At 37.2% G+C, this 19,803-nt stretch overlaps 1 protein-coding gene across 16 annotated transcripts in view, besides 1 other annotated feature; it reads left to right on the forward strand.

The window, feature by feature from the left end:
• Positions 1-19,803, forward strand: part of SYT1 (synaptotagmin 1) — a 588,027-nt gene that overhangs the window by 366,254 nt on the left and 201,970 nt on the right. The gene's annotated exons all lie outside the window — the stretch shown is intronic.
• Positions 3,320-3,399: an enhancer, noted in NCBI's record as "active region_6685". NCBI's record gives its function as "activates an Ori minimal core promoter by ATAC-STARR-seq in GM12878 lymphoblastoid cells {active_cell/tissue: GM12878}" and the evidence as "EXISTENCE:reporter gene assay evidence [ECO:0000049][PMID:35858748]".

Raw genomic sequence — 19,803 nt, forward strand, 5'->3', positions numbered from 1 at the left:
CTAGCCTTTAATCTCCAATTTTCTTGTGATTTTTAAAAAATCTTCTGATTGTCTTCTCTAAATCTAAACATGCTTTTTAGTATTACATAGTTTCAAGCATTTGATTATTTCATTGTGTCTTATTGTATAGTTGCATCTGAAGATTTTTGTACTGAAATAGAATTTTTTAAATAAATTACTGTCATTTCTCCATTATATTATAGTTGACAAATTTTATTAATTTTAAAATTATGTAGGTAGGTATGTTATATTCTTATTTACACTTTGAGACAGAAAAAAAGGAATATTATAAAATATTTGTTATGAACTGGGGTAATACTGATTTTAAAAAACAAATGTGCAGTAGGACTCTATCAACATTCTCTATTCAAGGTGGAATGCTAACAAAAGTACATTCTACTGATGCTACATTTCAGGAAGGCTGTTTATATGTCTCCTTGGATTTTGTTTTATAAACTAGTGTTGAGGGATTTTTATAAACTTCCAAAGCACAGGTAATACAGAGTAACAGTAAGCACAAAAAGCCACCAAGTAAATTAAAATCGCAACTAAGTTTCTAAACTTTATTCAGCTACATTCCATTAGCATTTCAAAGATATTAAGAAAACACACCTGAGGAAAATGAGGGGCTTGAACAAGATTTTGGACCTATATCCAAAATAATTCAGGAATTACTTTGCTGAAACACCATACGAATATACTTTAAAATAGCTTTAACATCTATTTTGTTTTTACCACGTAGCAAACCACAGACTACATTTTCACTAAGCAAAGCCTGACTACAAAAACAAATCTACAAAGATGACAGAATAAGAGAAGCTGGGAGACTGCTGTTTCTCCTCACTCATGACTATGTAGATCTCTTATTGCATTGCTGATCTGTCAGGTTTGTGCTAGTTTCTATTAAATTGAGTAAAGAATTTAGAAGCAGAAACCAGAGGGAATGTATGAGATATACCATTATATTTTTAGTGCTTGGCTTTATTTTTGTTTGTTTTGATTTTCCTTTATAAGAATACTGTAATAAAGGGATTTGTACTTGATATCTTCTGAGTCCACGTGTCTCCCCAGCCTGTCTTTTGAGTGAACCTAGGTAACTTTGAAATAAAGATTAAGAAAATATTGGCCCATTGAAAGATTTCCTCACTAAGCAACACTTTCATTGACACTGCTACCCTGGAGAAATTTCAAAACCACTTGAACCCTCTCCTTTTTTCTCTTCTCTTTCAAGCTGTTTTCACACATACAAGTTTTTCTTAAAAAAAAAAGATAATAGTAGACAACGAATAATAGAAATATATTTGAACTGATAAATATGCCATTTTCTGAAAGTAGTTTATATCTGTCCATAAAAACTCAGAAAAGAGCCAGGATCTTGGGACAATAAACTATAATTGATTTAGTCATATTGTTCAATGCCTTGAAGGTAAAATGTTATTTTAATGTAAAAATATAAAAAATTAATTATTTAATGTAAAATGTAAAAAATTTATTTTTGTAAGGATTTGGATCAGATTATTTTAAATCAGTTAACTATTGCAGTGGATTTAAAACACTGCTGTTATAATCACGCAAATATTACTACCTAAATTATTTGTTATACTTCAGTAGCCCAAAAGTGGTAGCAATTTATCCATAATGCTGTCTTAATCACTCACAGATTCTTAGCCAATATTAGCAACTAACCGAGGTTCAGGAGAACATTGTTTGCTATGGTGAGCATCTATGAAATGAGGTCATTTGTAGTATGAGCTGCAAAGTTGGTCTTCCCAAGTTCAAAATTCTGACTCTACCATTACTAGTGTGTGACCTTGGGCAAATGATATAATTTCTCTGTAAAATAAAGACAATAATAGTACTTTACCTCTGGGAAGGTGTGAGCAGTAAAGTATTCGTGTATATAAAGTGCTTAAAACAATGTCTGGAATATAATGGTCACATTCAAATTCCATAAGCTTCCACTGCATATGTATAGAGCACCTACTATGTGCAAGACTGTATATGCCATAGGAAGGAGTTAAATCAAAGCACATAATTTTTCTGGACCTCAACAGCATTACAACTCAGAACTTTTCTGCGAGAAGGACTTCTAAATTAAAATGTCTTAGCAGGACAGCGATGGCTCTTTATGATATGGCTCTTGCATATGCTCTAGCCTCCTCTTCAACTGTTCGCCCTCACACAGTTTGCTCCAGCACGACAGTTACTAAATGTATTATCCATAGTTTTTCTTTCTTCCAGGTCTTTATACAAATTGTCTCCTCTGCCTGAAATTCCTTACTTGCCATAGCTTGTCTACCTAGACTCCTTCTAGTTAGCCTTCAGAACTCTATTTTTCTTTAAAGCTTTTCCTTTTTTCTGGTACCAACTTCCTAACCCACTATTCCTCAGCAATTCTCCCTCCATAACAAGTTTATACTTTGCATATGTTTATAAATTTTACTTTTATTATTTTGTATTTACTTGAGGCCAAGGACACACTGTCTTTTCATCTTTGTGTCTCCAGTTCCAGCACAAAATCTGGCTCATAGGTAGGCAGAATTATTATTCTCCTTTAGCTCAAAGGCCCTCATATCAAGTTATCAAGAAAGACTTCCAAAGAGCTCTTACGGGAAAAGGGTGAGAGGACATAATAATCAAAGGCGACATTCACTGTGAAGCTGAACCGAAGGTAGGCGACCTTCCAGAACCATTCTGCCATGCCCTCTACCCCACTCTACTTTACAATACATCTTTGCTTTTTCTCTCTCCTTTTATTTCTTTTCTCCCTTTCCTCGACCTTTCTTTAACATTATCATCTTCTGTTCCCTTTCTTTCCTCCTTGCCCCTGCTGATTTAAAATGTTCATTGTTTATTTTTTTCTCTACCTGTCTCGTGGCAGCCCCATCTAATTCAGAGTCAAGATGCAAGCAGCCACCAAATTGGTCCTCCAGCTAAACAGTGTCCTCACCCCCAAGCATGTTTATTCCAAGTGGAGATCAGGGACTCGGTGATAGCTTCATCTTTTTGTTTTAAAAATAACGAATTGTATTGAAATGTCCAGAAAATAAGATTAGTTCATTTTACATGATGATTGTTATCTAACATAGCCCAGTTTCCTGTGTTTTCACTGAGACAGTTCAAAAGAAACCTGGATACACTGTTACAGTGGCTTTTCCTCCAGTGGGTACTTGTGTGAGGTTTGCTTTGCTGAGTAGCTGTTTATACGAAACTTGTGTAGGTTTCTGTGTTTCACCCTATCAGGCACACAAAGCACAGCAGTTCCTCTTTTCAGCTACATTGTCGATATCACCACAACCGTGGATATCATTTGAAGTGGTGCTTCCACGTGGCCTGGACAGCCATCTTCTGCCCACAGTGATTGGAACTGTTCTGTCATCTCACCTTTCTACAGCTGCTGTCATTCATCCACCTTTCTTTTCCGGATCTGCTAATGTGGCTCTAATGCGATTTACCTGGCTGCTTTCCAGGCCCTCATCAGTAGTGAATCTGTTTTGCTATTTTGCATTAAGTAGTCTTAAGCACCAGTGCTACTGACGTGAAAGGCAAGGTACTTCCATAAAAGCTTGAATGTAATAATCTAACAGTTGAGCCCTGCATAATTTTACCAGTGCTGCAATTACAGGAAAACATATAGGCAGTTTCCCAAAGTCAGTTGTGCTGCTGTTATCTTCCATTGGAGATTGATGCCGCCTTGCCTCTACTCTGGATTACTTGATTTGGCCATTCCCTTAGGCAGGGATAGTTGGATCCGTATGTACAAGGCACCCCACACAATGTATCTTACTGTTTATTGAAAATCTCGTCTCCCTTGGCTTCTGATACTCAATTCTCTAATTCTCTTTCTTTCCTTCTAACATTCTTTCTCTCTCTCTGTCTCCTCCAATTGCCTACAGGTGGGTACTCTCCAAGCCTCTGCCTCTGGCATTTTTCTACCTCTATGATTTATTTATAATTTCAGGATTTCCAATACTATATGTAAATCACACTCAAAACTCAGTCCTCAAACTTGATATCTCTGTTGAACTCTCCTCTTTTGTTAAATTAACTTTATTGAAGAATGGTTTACATACAATAAGATGCACCCATTGAAAATGTATAGTTCTATGCTTTTAGTCATATACAAGCAATGTAATCACCACCCCCAAAAATTGCTTCTAGTTCCTTTCTAGCAATCGCTGCCCTGCTACCTCTAGTTATGGGCAGTTATTAATCTGCTTTTCTGTTATTACAAATTAGTTATAACTGTTCCAGCATTTCACTAAAATGGAACCATGCACGTATTCTGTGTCTGATTTCTTTCACTTAGCACAATGTTTTTGCAATTCATCTTGCATGTTTCAGTAGTCCATTTCTTTTTATTGCTGAGTAGCATTTCATTGAATGGATATCCATGAGTTGCTTATCCATGTATTTCTTGATAGACATTTAGGTTATTTCTAGTTTGGGGCTTTTTCTTTCTTTCTTTCTTTCTTTCTTTTTTTTTTTTTTTTTGAGATGAAGTCTTGCTGTGTCACCAGGCTGGAGTGCAGTGGCGCAATCTTGGCTCACTGCAACCTCCGCCTTCTGGGTTCAAGCAATTCTCCTGTCTCAGCCTCCTGAGTAGCTGGGACTACAGGCACATGCCACCATGCCCAGCTAATTTTTGTATTTTTAGTAGAGATGGGGTTTCACCATGTTGGCTAGGATGGTCTCTTTCTCTTGGCTTCGTGATCCACCCACCTTGGCCTCCCAAAATGCTGGGATTACAGGCGTGAGCCACTGCGCCCAGCCTAGTTTGGGGCTCTTAAGAATAAAGTTGCAGTAAATATTTTTGGGCAACTCTTTAAGAGGACATATATTTATTATGTTTTCGTTTCTCTTAGGAAGTGCCTAAGTATAGAATTACTATGTCTGGTAGTACAGAAGTATATTTGTCTTACTTTATAAAAAAGAACTGCCAATCTGTTTTCTAAAGTGGTTTTATTATTTATATCTCCACAGGTGATATATGAGAGTTCTAGTTGCTCTACATCCTTGCTAACACTTGGAATTGTCTAGTCTTTTTCATTTTAGTTACTCTAGTATGTGTATAGAATATATCATTGTGGTTTTAATGTGCAATTCCCTGGTAACTCACAATGGATTGTAGACCTAAATGTAAAAGTTAAAACTGTAAAACTTCTAGAAGAAAATATAGACAATAATTTCATGACCTTGATATAGACAAAGATTTTCTTAACAGGTCACCAGAATCATTAAGTATAAAAGAAAAACTTGATAAGTTAGGATTTTTCAAGGAGTCAAGCCTTCTGCTTTGTAAATATACCATTAAGAAAATACCAAAAACGGCTAGTCACAGAATGGGAGAGAATATTCATTTCATATATAGATATAAATATATATGTAATTAATATATAAATATATATAATGATTATATATAATGACATAGAAGTCATTTCCATAATATATATATTTTAAAACTTCTTACAATTCAATACAAATATGAGCAAAATATTTTTAATAGACACTAAATCAAAGAAGATATGAATGGCTAAGTTCATGTAAACATGTTCAGCATTCTTAGTAAGAAAATATAAAATAACAATGAAATGGATTTTTAAAGCTCTCTTCTAGATTTGTTCAACTATATACCCATTAGCAACTGAAATTCACCATATCCAAAACTAAATTCACTTTCTTTTCTTTTTCCCCCAACAAAACAAACACATGCATGTTTCTTGACTCTGAAGCTCAATACCAGAGCTTATATTTAATTCTACCCACTTTTGGACCCCCATTGTCCAACTAGTTAGCAAGTCATATTTCCTAATTTTCTGTCCTCTCTCTACTCTCAACTTCCACTGTCATTATTCTGGTTTGAGCCCTCATCTATATTGTAAGAGTCTCTTAGGAGGTGTTCCCACAACGATTTTCCATTTATGGCCAGCCCATTGTACATAAATCTTTCAGATGATTTTTCTTAGATCTGAGCTCTGAACATGCAAGTCCCTTGTTCAGAAACCTTTAGTACTTCCCCCTTAGCTGGCTTTTCAAGTTCTTTATTTGGCATTCAAACCTCTCTATAGTTTAACCCCAACCTACCTTTCCAGCCTCTTTCCAGCCTCTCTTTTAAGTACTCAGTACTTTGTGAACTGAACTAATTACTGTTCTACAGATACGTGCTTCCATTTCCTGTTGTTTTACCTTAGTCTGTGGTGTTCTCCCATCTGAAATGACATTACCCCCATCTCTGTATAGTCAAACCTCCCTATCCTAAAAGACTAAGACTCAATTCAAATGCTAGCTCTTCTATAAAGCTCCTGCTGAATACCAGTATTACTCATTTAATATACTTTTCATCTTCCACCAAGTGGTATTACTATAAGCTCATATCTTCCTTACTAGATTTTTAAGAAAACTGTAGAGGTTGACCCATTCCTACATAGTGCCAACTACATGTTATATGCCCTACAAGGAGAAAACAGTCAACAAATGTTTGTGTCATGGATAAACAGCTTGATGATGGGATATAAAATAGAATAAGCCATCATTCTTACAATCTGATAAGAGAAATAGAATATGCATGGAAACAATAACAACGTAGCATGTGATGCATAATAAAACTTGTGAGAGACGTGTAGAGGAGTCATCATAGGGTAATTTGGAATTAGGTTAGAGAGGTCCATCAATATCAGGCTGAGGTTAGACTTTATTTAATAGTTAAAGATGAGCCAGGAACCATTCAAGATATTCAAACACAGAAGTAACATAATTACAGTTTTGTATCAATCTGGCAGCAGTGTGTGGGTAGAATGGATTGTGACGGGGGAACCTGGAAGGAGAGAAAGGCAGGACAGAGAGAACTGAAGGAACACTAGCGTGAGATAATGAAAGACTAAATTGCTAGCAAAAGCGCAGATGTGACAGACTCTGTGAACATGCTGTTGACAGGTGCTGTGTCTGGGTCTGAAGGTGTGTAGAAAAGAGAAAATGAAATATAATTTCAGAGAAGCTGGGTAACCATTCCAGGGTTATGCCCTGTAGGGATTGGACAATACGAGAAAGAGTTGGGCATTAGAAATTGAGATTTCTTTGACCACATACAAGTTTAGGTTGCATTAAATAAAGTGGATATATGTTATTAGTAAGACTACACAGAGGGGGAAAAAAGACAGAAATCCAGTGATAAATTCCTAAAATACAAAACTCATGGAAGAGTAAAGAAGTTGATGAAGAGATAAATGAGCTGTCAAAGACTATTGGGTAAAGTAGAACAGCAGTGTGTCATGGAAGCTAAATTAAGAGAGAGTTTCAGAGAAACAATAGTCATTTCCATGTGAAAGAATGTTTTTTAAAGTACTGCTTAAAGTTTGGAAGAAACAAACAATAGGGAGGCTCTGAGCCTACTCCAGCTCCAGAAGCTGCCCGTTGAAAATTTTAAGTTAAAAAAAAGAAATAAAAATGATTAAAGCAGGCAATCTACCCTTATAGTGTTTTCAGTCTAATGGGGCAGAAGTAGCAGACTTCATCCTCATCATCACCATTCCCATCATTTTCCGAGTGCTTAGTACAGGCCATCATCTGTATATTGAATTATAATTTTGCTAACCCTATACACTTATGATCCCAATTTTATAGAGGAGTAGAAAGTCTCAAAGATGTTATGCAGAATACATTTTAGTACAGGGTTTAATAAAGTACATATTAAAGTGAGATACAAGTGAGCTAAGATCAAAGGAAATACAACTTGTATGGGAATGACAGAAAAGGAGTTAAGAAAGAGATAACCTCTAGACTGTGCCTTGAACCAAAGAAGGATTTGCATAACCAGAGAGTTGGTAAAAAGTCATTCCACACTGAATGAGGTATCATCAGAGTTTTGTGGTTAACAGTGAGGTTGGTGTGATTGCTTGGTGTACAATATATTGTATATACTACAACTTACTGTAGGATACATTTAGTGGTATGGCTGGAAGAGAAAGCATGTGACCCCGTTTTCTAAGAACTTTTAATGCCATCCTAAGCAGGTTTTATGCTGCAAACTCTAATCCTTTGTGGGCTTTAAGGAACAAAGTATGACCCAACTTTTTTTTCTTTTTGGACCATTAAAGAAATAGCTAGACATATAAGCATCCAGGCATGGCAAATGCTTCAGATATATCACAGAAGATTATGCCTGAAAAGAGGGCCAGTGGATTTAGAGCTCTTTGTTGACCTTGGAAAGCCTTGTTTCATTAGAGAGCTGGAATCAGAAGCCAAGTTGCAGGGTGCAGGATGAGAAGTTAAGAAGTGAGGAAACAGAGTGAGAATGTGAAAGCGGTGAGCGTGAACTGTTCTCTTCCATAAGAGGACAAGTAGAATTACAGCTCATGCACTTAACAAGATGCAGGGCAATTGGGTATGTGCTGCGGTAGTGAAAAGAAGGAGATGAAAATAAATAGGTTTTCATTACCAAAGGCAGAGCTAACTCTCCTGCCTACTTCCAAATGCTACCACATATCCACACCCTTGATGTCATTACTAATCCCTCATATATTTGCAGCAGAAGTTGCTTGTGAACCTGGGACAGAAATGTTGATGGCAATCCAACTGATAATCTTGAATGTGAGAAATCCTTTTGGATATATTCATATGGCTAATTTGCTTTGACTATAAAGTGTTGCTGAGACCTCATTAACAAATTTGCGATATTTCCCCTGCTTCTTTGATCAGAGTCTCCCTGTCCTTGGAATTCTCCATAAGCCTCATGCATATAGCACTTGCCAATTTTATTTGTATGTTCTAGTTATTTGCCTTATTCTTCCAAATTATCCTATATTCTGTGGTGGCAGAAATTGATATTTTGTATGTACTGCTCCTATACAGCAGGCACTAAATAATTACTTTTGGTTTGAAATAATTTTAGATACTATGTTTCCCTATTATAAATATGTGTAAAAAATTGACTTGTAGAGATATCTTAGTTTTCTATTGCTGCATAAAAGTTTACCACAAGCTATTCCTCTGCAGAACTAATAGCCCTAGTATAACCATGAGAAAAATATCAGACAAATCCCAATTTAGAGACATTTTGAAAATACTTGACCAGTACTTCTCAAAACTGTCAAGGTCATCAAGAATAAAGAAAGTCTGAGAAACTGTCACAACCAAGAGAAGCCAACGGACACATGACAACTAAATGTAATGTGGTGTCCTGGAACAGAAAAACTCAGAAAATCTGAATAAAGTATGGACTTTAGTTAACAATAATGCATTTACATTGGTCCATTCATTCTAATAAATGTGCCATATTAATGTAGAGGTTAATAATAGGGGAAACTAGGTATGAGGTATATGAGAAATCTCTGTACAGTCTTAACGTTTCTGTAAATCTAAACCTATTCTAAAAAAAGTTTGTTAAAAACATTTGCTACAATATTAGTGGCTTAAAACAACACAACGTTTATTATCTCACAGTTTACATGAATTAGAAATCCAAGCCCAGCCTAACAGGGTCCTCTGCTCGGTGTCTCGCAAGGCTGCCATCAAAATGTCAACTAGACCACAGAAGAGGGAGTCCAGGCTTTTTTCCAAGCTCTTTCAGACTTTTTGGCAGAAATTCTGTTCCTTGAAATTACAGGACTGAGACCCTCAGTTCCTAAAGATGACTCTGCCATATGCAGTTTACAACATGACTGCTTCTTCAAGGCCAGTGGAACATCTCTCTCACCTCAGGAAGGGCCTAGTCATGCTTTAAGGGCTTGCAACTGGGCTCACCCAGGACAGTCTCCCTTTTGATGAATTGAAATACAACCTATTTGGGAATTTAATTACATCTGCAAAATCCTTTCACCTTTGCCACATAGCACAATCCATTACAGTCACGGATCTTTCCCATACTCAAAGAGAAGGCTTACATAGGGCATGTATGCAGGAGAGGGTAGAGTCTTGAAAACCATCTTATTAATAGAATTCTGCTTACCAAAGATTTGGAAAGAGAATGAATGTATGACAGAGAACAAAAGAATTGTTACTTTATGAAAAGGCAATAGATTACCTTTTATCTAAATAGTGTCAATTGGCACTACTCTATTTTTTACAAAATTTAAAGGATTTGAACTGAAAAGCATCCTTCTTATTCTCATTTTCTTCTCTCCTTCTTTTTGGTGTCATTCCATTATAGCCACTAAAATAGTGTATTTTTGCAGGGTTAGCAGCAGCATGGTTATTATAGTGGTGATATCTTCCAGTGCAGATTCTTTAGAGTCTGAGCATTGTTTAAAAAGAAAATGAAAGCTATATCAGTTCACTATTAATTATTCTCAGTCTAGTGAATCCTTCAAAGGTTATATTTTGGTGATGGTGATCAGTTCATATCAACAGGTTCAGGAATGTCTATTTCCAATCTATGAAAACAACATAGATTCCAGGTTGGAGACACGGTTCCAATTCTAAACTTTTGCTTAAAATAAAAAAATGATTAGGAAGAAGTAGAGTTTCTGTGCTTAATTTGATCTCAGTTGTACAACTTGAAATTATGAGCTAGTATACATGGGATTGGTTATTAGAAATTGCTAGCTTGACACATTCATTTTTTAAAAAGTAATTATATATTGCAAGGTGTTGATATTGTCTTTTATAAGAAATATGCATCTAAAAAATGTAGAGGAGAATATTTTATTTAAAAAAGAAAGGGCTGGGCACAATGGCTCACACGTGTAATCCCAACACTTTAGGAGGCCACAGCAGGAGGATAGCTTGAGCCCAAGAGTTGGAGACCAGTCTGGGCAACATAGCAAGATCCCATCTCTATAAAAAATTTTAAAACCAGCCTGTCATGGTGGCACATGCCTTTAGTCCCAGCTACTTAGGAGACTGAGGTAGGAGGATTGCTTGAGCCCAGAAAGTCAAGGCTACAAGTGAACTGTGATAGTGCCACTGCACTTCAGCCTGAACAACAGAGTGAAACCCTGTCTCAAAACAAAAACAAAAACAAATGGTAAGTAAAATTCTGAGATTCTAGAAAAAAGCGATTCGTTTACTGAGGAATGATTTGCACTGGCAACTTTTTTTTTTTTTAATTTTATTTTTGGAGATGAAGTCTCACTCTGTCACCCAGGCTGGAGTGCAGTGGCACGATCTCGGCTCACTGCAACCTCCACCTTCCGGATTCACGTGATTCTCCTGCCTCAGCCTCCTGAGTAATTGGGACTACAGGTGGGCGCCACCATGCCCGGCTAATTTTTTGTATTTTTAGTACAGATGGGGTTTCGCCATGTTGGCCAGGCTGGTCTCGAACTCCTGGCCTCAGGTGATCCTCCCAAAGTGCTGGGATTACAGGCATGAGCCACCATGTCCAGCCTACACTGACTTTGAATGTGTTTCCCAAAACATAAAAATTCATGTTTTTATAAAGCATAGGAAAATGACTAAGTACAAAATAATTGGTGTTGGTGAAAACAGAAAAAAAATGTATCTGCATTAAGAAATTAGAAATGTATTTTTTAAACTCAAAAGTAGATAATGTGTGCTGTGGGTCGAATCATGTGCCCCATACTGTATGTTCAAGTCCTAACCCTTGGTACCTATCTGCAAATGTGACTTCTTTAGAAATAGATCACTTTTTTTTTGAAGATCGAATCAAGTTAAGGTGAGGTCATACCGAAGTAATGCCTTAGAAGAGAAGAGACCAGCGTCCTTAGAAGAGAAGAGAGATACACAGGGAGAACGCCATGTGGCAATGGAGGCAGAGATTAGAGTGATACATCTATAAGCCTAGGAACACCAAGGATTACTGGCAACACCAGAAACTGAGAGAAAGGCATGGAACAGAGTCTCTCTCAGAGCATTCAGAAACAGTATGGCCTTCCAATACTTTGATTTCAGACTTGAAGCCCCTAAAACTGTGAGAGAATAAATTTCTGTTGTTTTCAGTCACCCAGTTTGTGGTCATTTGTTACAGCAGTCATAGGAAACAAATATAATGGACGAGCTGCATGTGGATCACCTGGGTCCTTGTGAACGAATGCTGCAATGACTTTACCATCTCTGCCCAGGATCATTGTCACCCACCGCTCCTGAAGGAGAGAATGTCCCTTAACAAGAAGAGGGTTATAGAGCGGCTTGGGAAGCTAGACTTCATCTACTTATCATCTTCTCTTGGGCTAGTTATGTCTACTTTGGATTGTGTGAGGACAAGGAAAACTCTGGCCTGAGGACCTTTTGCAGTGAGAGGCCCCTCCCCTGTGGGCTTGAAATGCTGATTTATGCACTGGGGCTTGATTGTCCTAATAGCCACCATTGGCTGAGTATGCACCTAGTAATATACAGAAAGAAATTAAGTTTTCAAGCAACAAGCAAAGTGATATTTTTTTAAATCATGGCTTCTACACAGAGGTAAAACAATTTCAGAAATTGAAGATCAGAAATTGAAGATAGAGAGATTTATTAACCAAGATTATTCAACTGCCAAGTAGCAGGGCAGGATTCAAAACTTAGCCAAAACTAAGTTCTTGAACCAACCAGGTTGTCTGCTACTACATACTGCCTCCTCCTCCCAAAATGCCAGTGGAAGACTGTGTGTTATATTTAATATGTAACTTGTATTGCACGTGTATATAACTTCTATGTAACTTTACATTGAAAATTGTACCTTGCTGCTTTTTTCCTAAAATGGTGTATTAGTCATTTTTATACTGCTATGAAGAAATACCCAAGACTGGGTAATTTATAAAGAAAAGGAGATTTAATGGACTCACAGTACCATATGGCTGGAGAAGCCTCACAATCATGGCAGAAGATGAAGGAGGAGAAGAGGCACATCTTACATGGCAGCAGGCAAGAGAGCATGTGCAGGGGAACTGCCCTTTATAAAACCATCAGATCTTGTGAGACTTATACACTATCATGAGAACAGCAGGGGAAAAACCAGCCCCCATGATTCAATTACCTCCCATCGGGTCCCTCCCACAACATGTGGGGATTATGGGAGCTACAATTCAAGATGAGATTTGAGTGGGGACACAGTCGAACCATATCAAATAGTCTCCAAAATGTTCCCATTTTATCGTTTTTTCATGTTTGTTTTCTTTATGACTTGTTAAATAGAATTTCTTAAATTGCCCTAGCACAGCCACATGCTTTCTCACATTTCAGTGTCAAGCAAAACATCAAGTACAGGGCATATTTTTCACACTGATGCAACTTTGCTGGTAAATTAAGATAAGAATATTTATTAGGTCTCTTTTGTGTTTATGTATTAAAATAAATTCTAAAATAAACTCAGCACAGTGAGAATAAATTTGAGGACCTTCCCTGGGAGCAAGAATTGCTAAAGCAATCGAAATCGAATCCCTTTTCCCTGCTTCGAAATTCAAGCATCGTAAAGCATTCTTACCGGCAAGCAGGAGGTCTCTAAAACTAAAGTCACTCCAGAGTGGCAGAGTTGTCACTTTAAAGATAGGCCTTAATGTAATGTTAATTTCAAACCTCTACTCCTTAAATGTACTAAGTATCTTTATCTCAGAAATGGAAAACAAAGTTCACAGGGCCTTCCAAGCAGGAAAAAAAGGTAACATTACAAATTTACTTAGCATAAAAAGTAAGGAAGGAGGAAAGGAGGGAAGGAAAAAAGAGAGGAAGAAAAAAGGAAGAAAGGAAGGTGAGATGGAAGGAAGGAGGGAAGGAAGGAAGGCAGGAAGGAAGGAAGGAAGGAAGGAAATACAGGATGGGGGTGGCTAAATTATACCTAATAAAGCTTAGAATGTGATATAAATTTTATGACATGAAAAGCATAATCCTGTATACTCTATCATAAAGTAAAAGAAAGTTGTTATATATTTTACCCAGTTTCATAATGAACTCTTACACCACATTTTCAATTGTGTTAAAACAATTGATCAATTCACCTTGATTCCATTCTGGGCACTTTAACGTACTGCATCGAAAGACTTCATACTGATAATTATTAGTGTTCTCTTTTCCTGGCCAAAAATTAAGATGCTTTAATTAATACCTTCATCACTATCATTGGCTTTGCACATGCCATACTCTCATTTACTTTACAATTTGCTAAACCTTTTTCTCTCTCTTTGGAAATCTTGATCCTCAAGAACTTTCCACATGATTTCTTTCATAGTTCTTTTGCATTCTTTTTCTCCTTAGAAACTTTCATTTTTTCTACATTGGCACAGGAAACATCAATATTTGATCATAAAGCTAAAGTGATAGCCTGGCACAGTGGCTCACGCCTGTAATCCCAGCACTTTGGGAGGCCAAGGTGGGAGGATCACTTGAGGTCAGGAGTTCGAGACCAGCCTGGCCAACATGGTAAAATCTGTCTCTACTAAAAATACAAAAATTAGCCAGTCATGGTGGTGGCGCCTGTAGTCCCAGCTACTCAGGAGGCTGAGGCAGAAGAATTGCTTGAACCCAGGAGGCAGAGGTTGCAGTGAGCCAGGATCACGCCACTGCACTCCAGCCTGGACGACAGAGAGAGACCCTGTCTCAAAAAAAGAAGAAAAAAAAAAAAAAAGCTAAAGTGCTCCATGGTTATATTAACCTTCCCCGCTAAGTTTCCACACATCTCAGTTTAGTACATGTTGAGCTAGTGAAGCTGGGATTCTAGTTTGACTTTTGAACGGCTTTTTTTTAACTGAGATTTCTATCTTTAGTTTCTTTTTCTATGTGGCAATAATGGAATGAGAACTTTAAAAGTTACTCAAAAACTTCATCTGATGAAGTAGGTAGCTGTCTTGGCAAGTAAATGCAATTCCTGAAAATTTTTTCCACTGGAATGATAGCTATTATGGCTACAAGATAAGGTATGAGCAATGAGTTTTCTGGCCGAAGGAATGACTCTGAAATTGCCATACCTCTGTGTAGAAGCAAGCCATGCTTTAAAAAATGACACTTTGGTCTTTGCTTGAAAACTCAAACATAAATAAATAACTTCTAACCTGGCTTTGACTTCATAAGAACTTCATTATTGCCGGGCGCGGTGGCTCACGCCTGTAATCCCAGCACTTTGGAAGGCCGAGGCGGGCGGATCACGAGGTGAGGAGATCCTGACCATCCTGGCTAACACACGGTGAAACCCCGTCTCTACAAAAAAAAAAAAAAAAAAAAAAATTAGCCAGGCATGTTAGCGGGCGCCTGTAGTCCCAGCTACTCGGGAGTTTGAGGCAGGAGAATGGCGAGAACCCGGGAAGCGGAGCTGCAATGAGCCCAGATGGCGCCACTGCACTCCAGCCTGGGCACAGAGCGAGACTCCGTCAACAAAAAAAAAAAAAAAAGAAAAGAAAAAAGAAAAAAAAAACTTCATTATGTATGTATTCGTGCAGAACTTTGAGAAGAATGTTTATAACAAGAAAAATATAATGGCAAAGCATCGTGGCAAAAAGAAAAAAAAGAAAAAGAACACAGAAAATAATTATGCAATTTTGTTAATTCTGAGACCAAAGCAAGCTGTTCTGGGGAGCAACTCAGGGGAAATCCCTTAAACTAGCTTCTATCACTGTCTAATTAAATTCAACATGATTTCTTATAGATCATGTAGTAGGATAAATATAGGTGAGATACCAAATGAACATAATACATGATTCCTTCAGTTCTAGAAATGTTTAACAGAGTAGTTTAAGAGGATTTCATGAAAAGTAAAAAGAATATATAACAGTAGACTAACACTTTTTTTTTTTCAGGAAAGGGAACCACATGAGCAAATAGATGTGGCCTGAGCAGGGCATAATTGAGATACGTGGAAAGATCAGTTTGGTTGCAGAAAATCAGCCCCTGCACCATAGTATGAGATAAATGTTTAGCATCCAAATATAAAGTACTTTTAATATCAATTTAAAGCAGAGCATTTCTTTTATTTTAAAAAATAGGGAGTTATTAAAGATTTTTACTAGTATTTTAATCATAAGATTAAAATATTTTATGGAAATTATGCAAAAGTCTTAATGAAGAACAGAATCTGAAGACCAGTAGACATGTTAGTGGTCAATTCCAAAAGACGAGGCAATGTGCATAAAAGATATTGTTCTCTTTTTCAATGTAGTACTTATTTTCGCCTCTACTCTTTTATTCACGTTGCCTCTCTTTCACCCATCAGCTTCGCATGTGTGAATTTTACACATTTTTCATGATACCCCTTTCATAAGTCCATTCCAGTTCTTCTCTTCTTTCTCTGGATTTCCACTTTTTTTTAACTTTTGCCTCTGTCTTAGTCCATTCCTGCCGCTATAACAAAATATGTGCGACTGGATAATTTTTAAAGAACATGCATTTATTGCTCACAGTTTTGGAGGCTGGAAAGTCCAAGATCAAGGTACCAACAGGTTCAGTGTCTGGATAGGGGCCTGGTCCTTGCTTCTAAGATGGTGCCTTGAACACTGTCTCCTCACACGGTGGCAGGTGGAAGAGCAAAGGGGCAAATACTGTGTGAAGCCTCTTTTATAAGGCATTAATCCCATTCACAAGGGAGGAGCCCTCATGACTTAATCACTTCTTAAATACCTTGACTTTTAAAATTACCACACTGGTGATGAAGTTTCAACATATGAATTTTGGGGGACACATTCAGACAATAATGGCCTCTGAGGCAATTATCGTTAATTCTATCTGGAATCATAGTCATTTATCTCTTATCTCAATTATTATGATTTTCTGGAAAATTAAGGGGATGCCTTGATTTCTTTTTATCACCCTTGTCCAGCCCAGTGGCTGGAACATAAGGGTTCAGTATAAGGTTGACAGAGCATTCAGTTATTGGGGGTGTTAGATGGATAGAGTGATAGAAGTAAAGATGTACAGTTGCTGAGAAGTCAAAGAATAAAAGCAACAGATTCAAAGGATAAAGGTTTTTTTAATCTAGAAATTTTAAATTTGTTTCCAATTCCAAGTGTCATAGAGGTTGGGAAAAATAAAGATAATTACATTTAGTGATGAGTTTATCACCTGTGACTTTACAGTGTATGGTTTTTATAGAGCAGATATTAAAATTTTAGGGAGGGTATTCAAAAGTCAAGTATGATGAGGCATCTTTTCTCACCTGTATAGAAAATGCATTCTCATTTCTCCCATTTACCGGTACTTTCGGTTCACTGCTTTTAAAAAGATATCTGAAGTTAAAAACCATCTAATATGTATAACTCATGAGGCAGGGAAGGCTTTTCTTATAATTGGACTTTACAATATTGTTTTTAAACATTCTTGGCCTAGAATTAACATACCACTGCTGGGATATATAGAGTATAATGCAAAGTAACACAAGCAAAGTCAGTGATACACAATTCTTCCTCATGAGAGAAACAATTTATGGGAAATTATTAAGAACTCCAGGATTATTAGCATCCCACCTGCAATTGAGAAAGGTAAAAACATATATTCCCTTAATACATGGTAGATTGTTTAGCAACCACCTACACATTGGCCGTGGATCTCTAAACATTTAATGAGTGCCTGCTGTGTACTAAACAACCTTCTAGAGTACACAACAATGGCAGTGGAAGACATTTACAATACAATAGATGCTTTCAGCACACAAACATAGATACTCAAAAGGCTCACAGTTATAAAAGAAAACAAAAAAAAAATAAGAGTTGAAAAACAGCTTCCAGAGCAGTATTTCAAAAACCGCAGGAAGCTATAGTGAAAATCTAGGAAGATGCACAGTGAAGGAACACAAAGTATGAAAGTAATAAGAGCCATCTTGGCTGCTGAAAATATTTCTCTTAAGAAAGAACATCTTGAATTACGTGTTCAGAAAATGAAGGTCAATAAAGATCTTATTGGTTAGAAAAAATAGCGAAGAATAGTCCGAATAATTAAGTCAAATTTTAAAGTTAACTTACACAGAACTAAGCCCATTTGACCCAGTTGGCACAGTCCATTTAAATCTTCCTTAGGATGCCCCACATTAAAGTAGGTGAACTAATCACATAACATTGGTGCAAACCAATGAGATTTCTGAAAAAAATATTTTAAGTGAATCCTCCATTAATGGAGAGTTGAGAAGATTATTTTTAGATCCAAAAGACAGGATTTAATAGTAAGTGAGATGAATGAGATGGATAAAGGGTACAGTAAGATTAGATTGATTAAAATAAAAATATATTAGAAAAAAACTAGGACTCAACAGACGGAGAGATTGGGTTGTGCAGGTGATGGAGAACCTCTATTGTACCTGACATTCTTTAAAGGAGGAAAATTAGCATATTCAAAAAAGAAAAAATATTTTGACAATAGCATGAAAGCCAGAGACCTTTCTTGCCTCCTTGTTTAGAAATCATTATAGCAATTTACGCATGGAAATATCAAAAGGAAGGAGAAGTATGGTGTTTGTGAAAATGAAAAAGTCTTAAGTTTCAAAAATGCCATGGGGAGGAATTTGGCAGTGGATAGGATGTAAATGAGTACCAAAGAAGATGGAGAAGGCTAACTTTACTGAAGACTAAAATGAGAGTCAAGAGGAAATGGTATGTTCAACAAAATGCAAATAGGCAAGAAAGGCTTGCTTCTGGAATATATCAGATTTCAGATCTTGCTGACACAAACACCTCTGGGCCAAAAGTTTAAGTCAGCTGGAGACCCTTGACATTCTAATTGAGAGTTAGCCCTGCAAAGGAGGTGATTGATTAAATTGATTCTAACACATAACTGATTGTATAGAAAATCTGAGAATATTGACCCTTTAAAAATCTGTGAAATTAATTATCTGTTTTTAGAGGTAGGATATCCTTGGCAGAATAAACTGATTTTATTTCTCTGCATGTGTTTTAGCTATTTTTGACTCCGGAGCATGTTTCATCTCCCAGGCATATGGCTATTCCGGCTTAGAGTTGTTGAAGGGCAACCACTATGCAAATTATTCCCTCTTCTCTTTACCTCTTTCTTTTTTTTTTTTTTTTTTTTTTTTTTTGAGACGGAGTCTCGCTCTGTCGCCCAGGCCGGACTGCGGACTGCAGTGGCGCAATCTCGGCTCACTGCAAGCTCCGCTTCCCGGGTTCACGCCATTCTCCTGCCTCAGCTTCCCGAGTAGCTGGGACTACAGGCGCCCGCCACCGCGCCCGGCTAATTTTTTGTATTTTTAGTAGAGACGGGGTTTCACCTTGTTAGCCAGGATGGTCTCGATCTCCTGACCTCATGATCCACCCGCCTCGGCCTCCCAAAGTGCTGGGATTACAGGCTTGAGCCACCGCGCCCGGCCCTCTTTACCTCTTTCTATATCTTCCATCTGAAGAGTTGGAAGTGTGAGTGGTGAGAAATCACATGCATCCAGAGGAGACAGACTCTAAAGGACATACACAACTCTATGGAAGGACTAGACTAGCAGCCCAATCAGGTAGTTAAAGAAAGACCAAAAGTTATTGGTTTTTCTTTAGGGAGATGGCATCAAAGCATTTTGAGCCAGAAGTTAGTGCTAAGTACCTGCAGGAAGGATGTAGAAACAAGGGTCTTGTCATTTGCAGATAACCAAGCAGGTAATGTGGCAGCCAATAGCAGCAGCCCAGCCTTGGTGATGACTTTACTCCTATCAATGAACCAACAAGAGAAGGTTAGGTCACCATTCCTGGAGAAATGGAATTTAAAATTTTTCATGTTAACAGCAGTTTAGGAGAATGAAGCCTGTTTTAGAAATTAGAGTAGAATGTAAAGTATCAAAGTTTTGAACCCCAACATCAGAAGTGAATCTCCAAATCAGAATAAGGCAAATTAAGAAAGCTAGAACTCCTTAAAGTCCCCAGACCAAATAAAAAAAAAATAGGGTTGGGTCTGGAACCTGTAATATGATCATTATCATTAATATAGTGATTATTAAGCACTTTACTTGAATCATCTTAA

Source organism: Homo sapiens, chromosome 12 (genome assembly GCF_000001405.40).
Source record: "Homo sapiens chromosome 12, GRCh38.p14 Primary Assembly".
Lineage (NCBI taxonomy): Eukaryota > Metazoa > Chordata > Mammalia > Primates > Hominidae > Homo > Homo sapiens.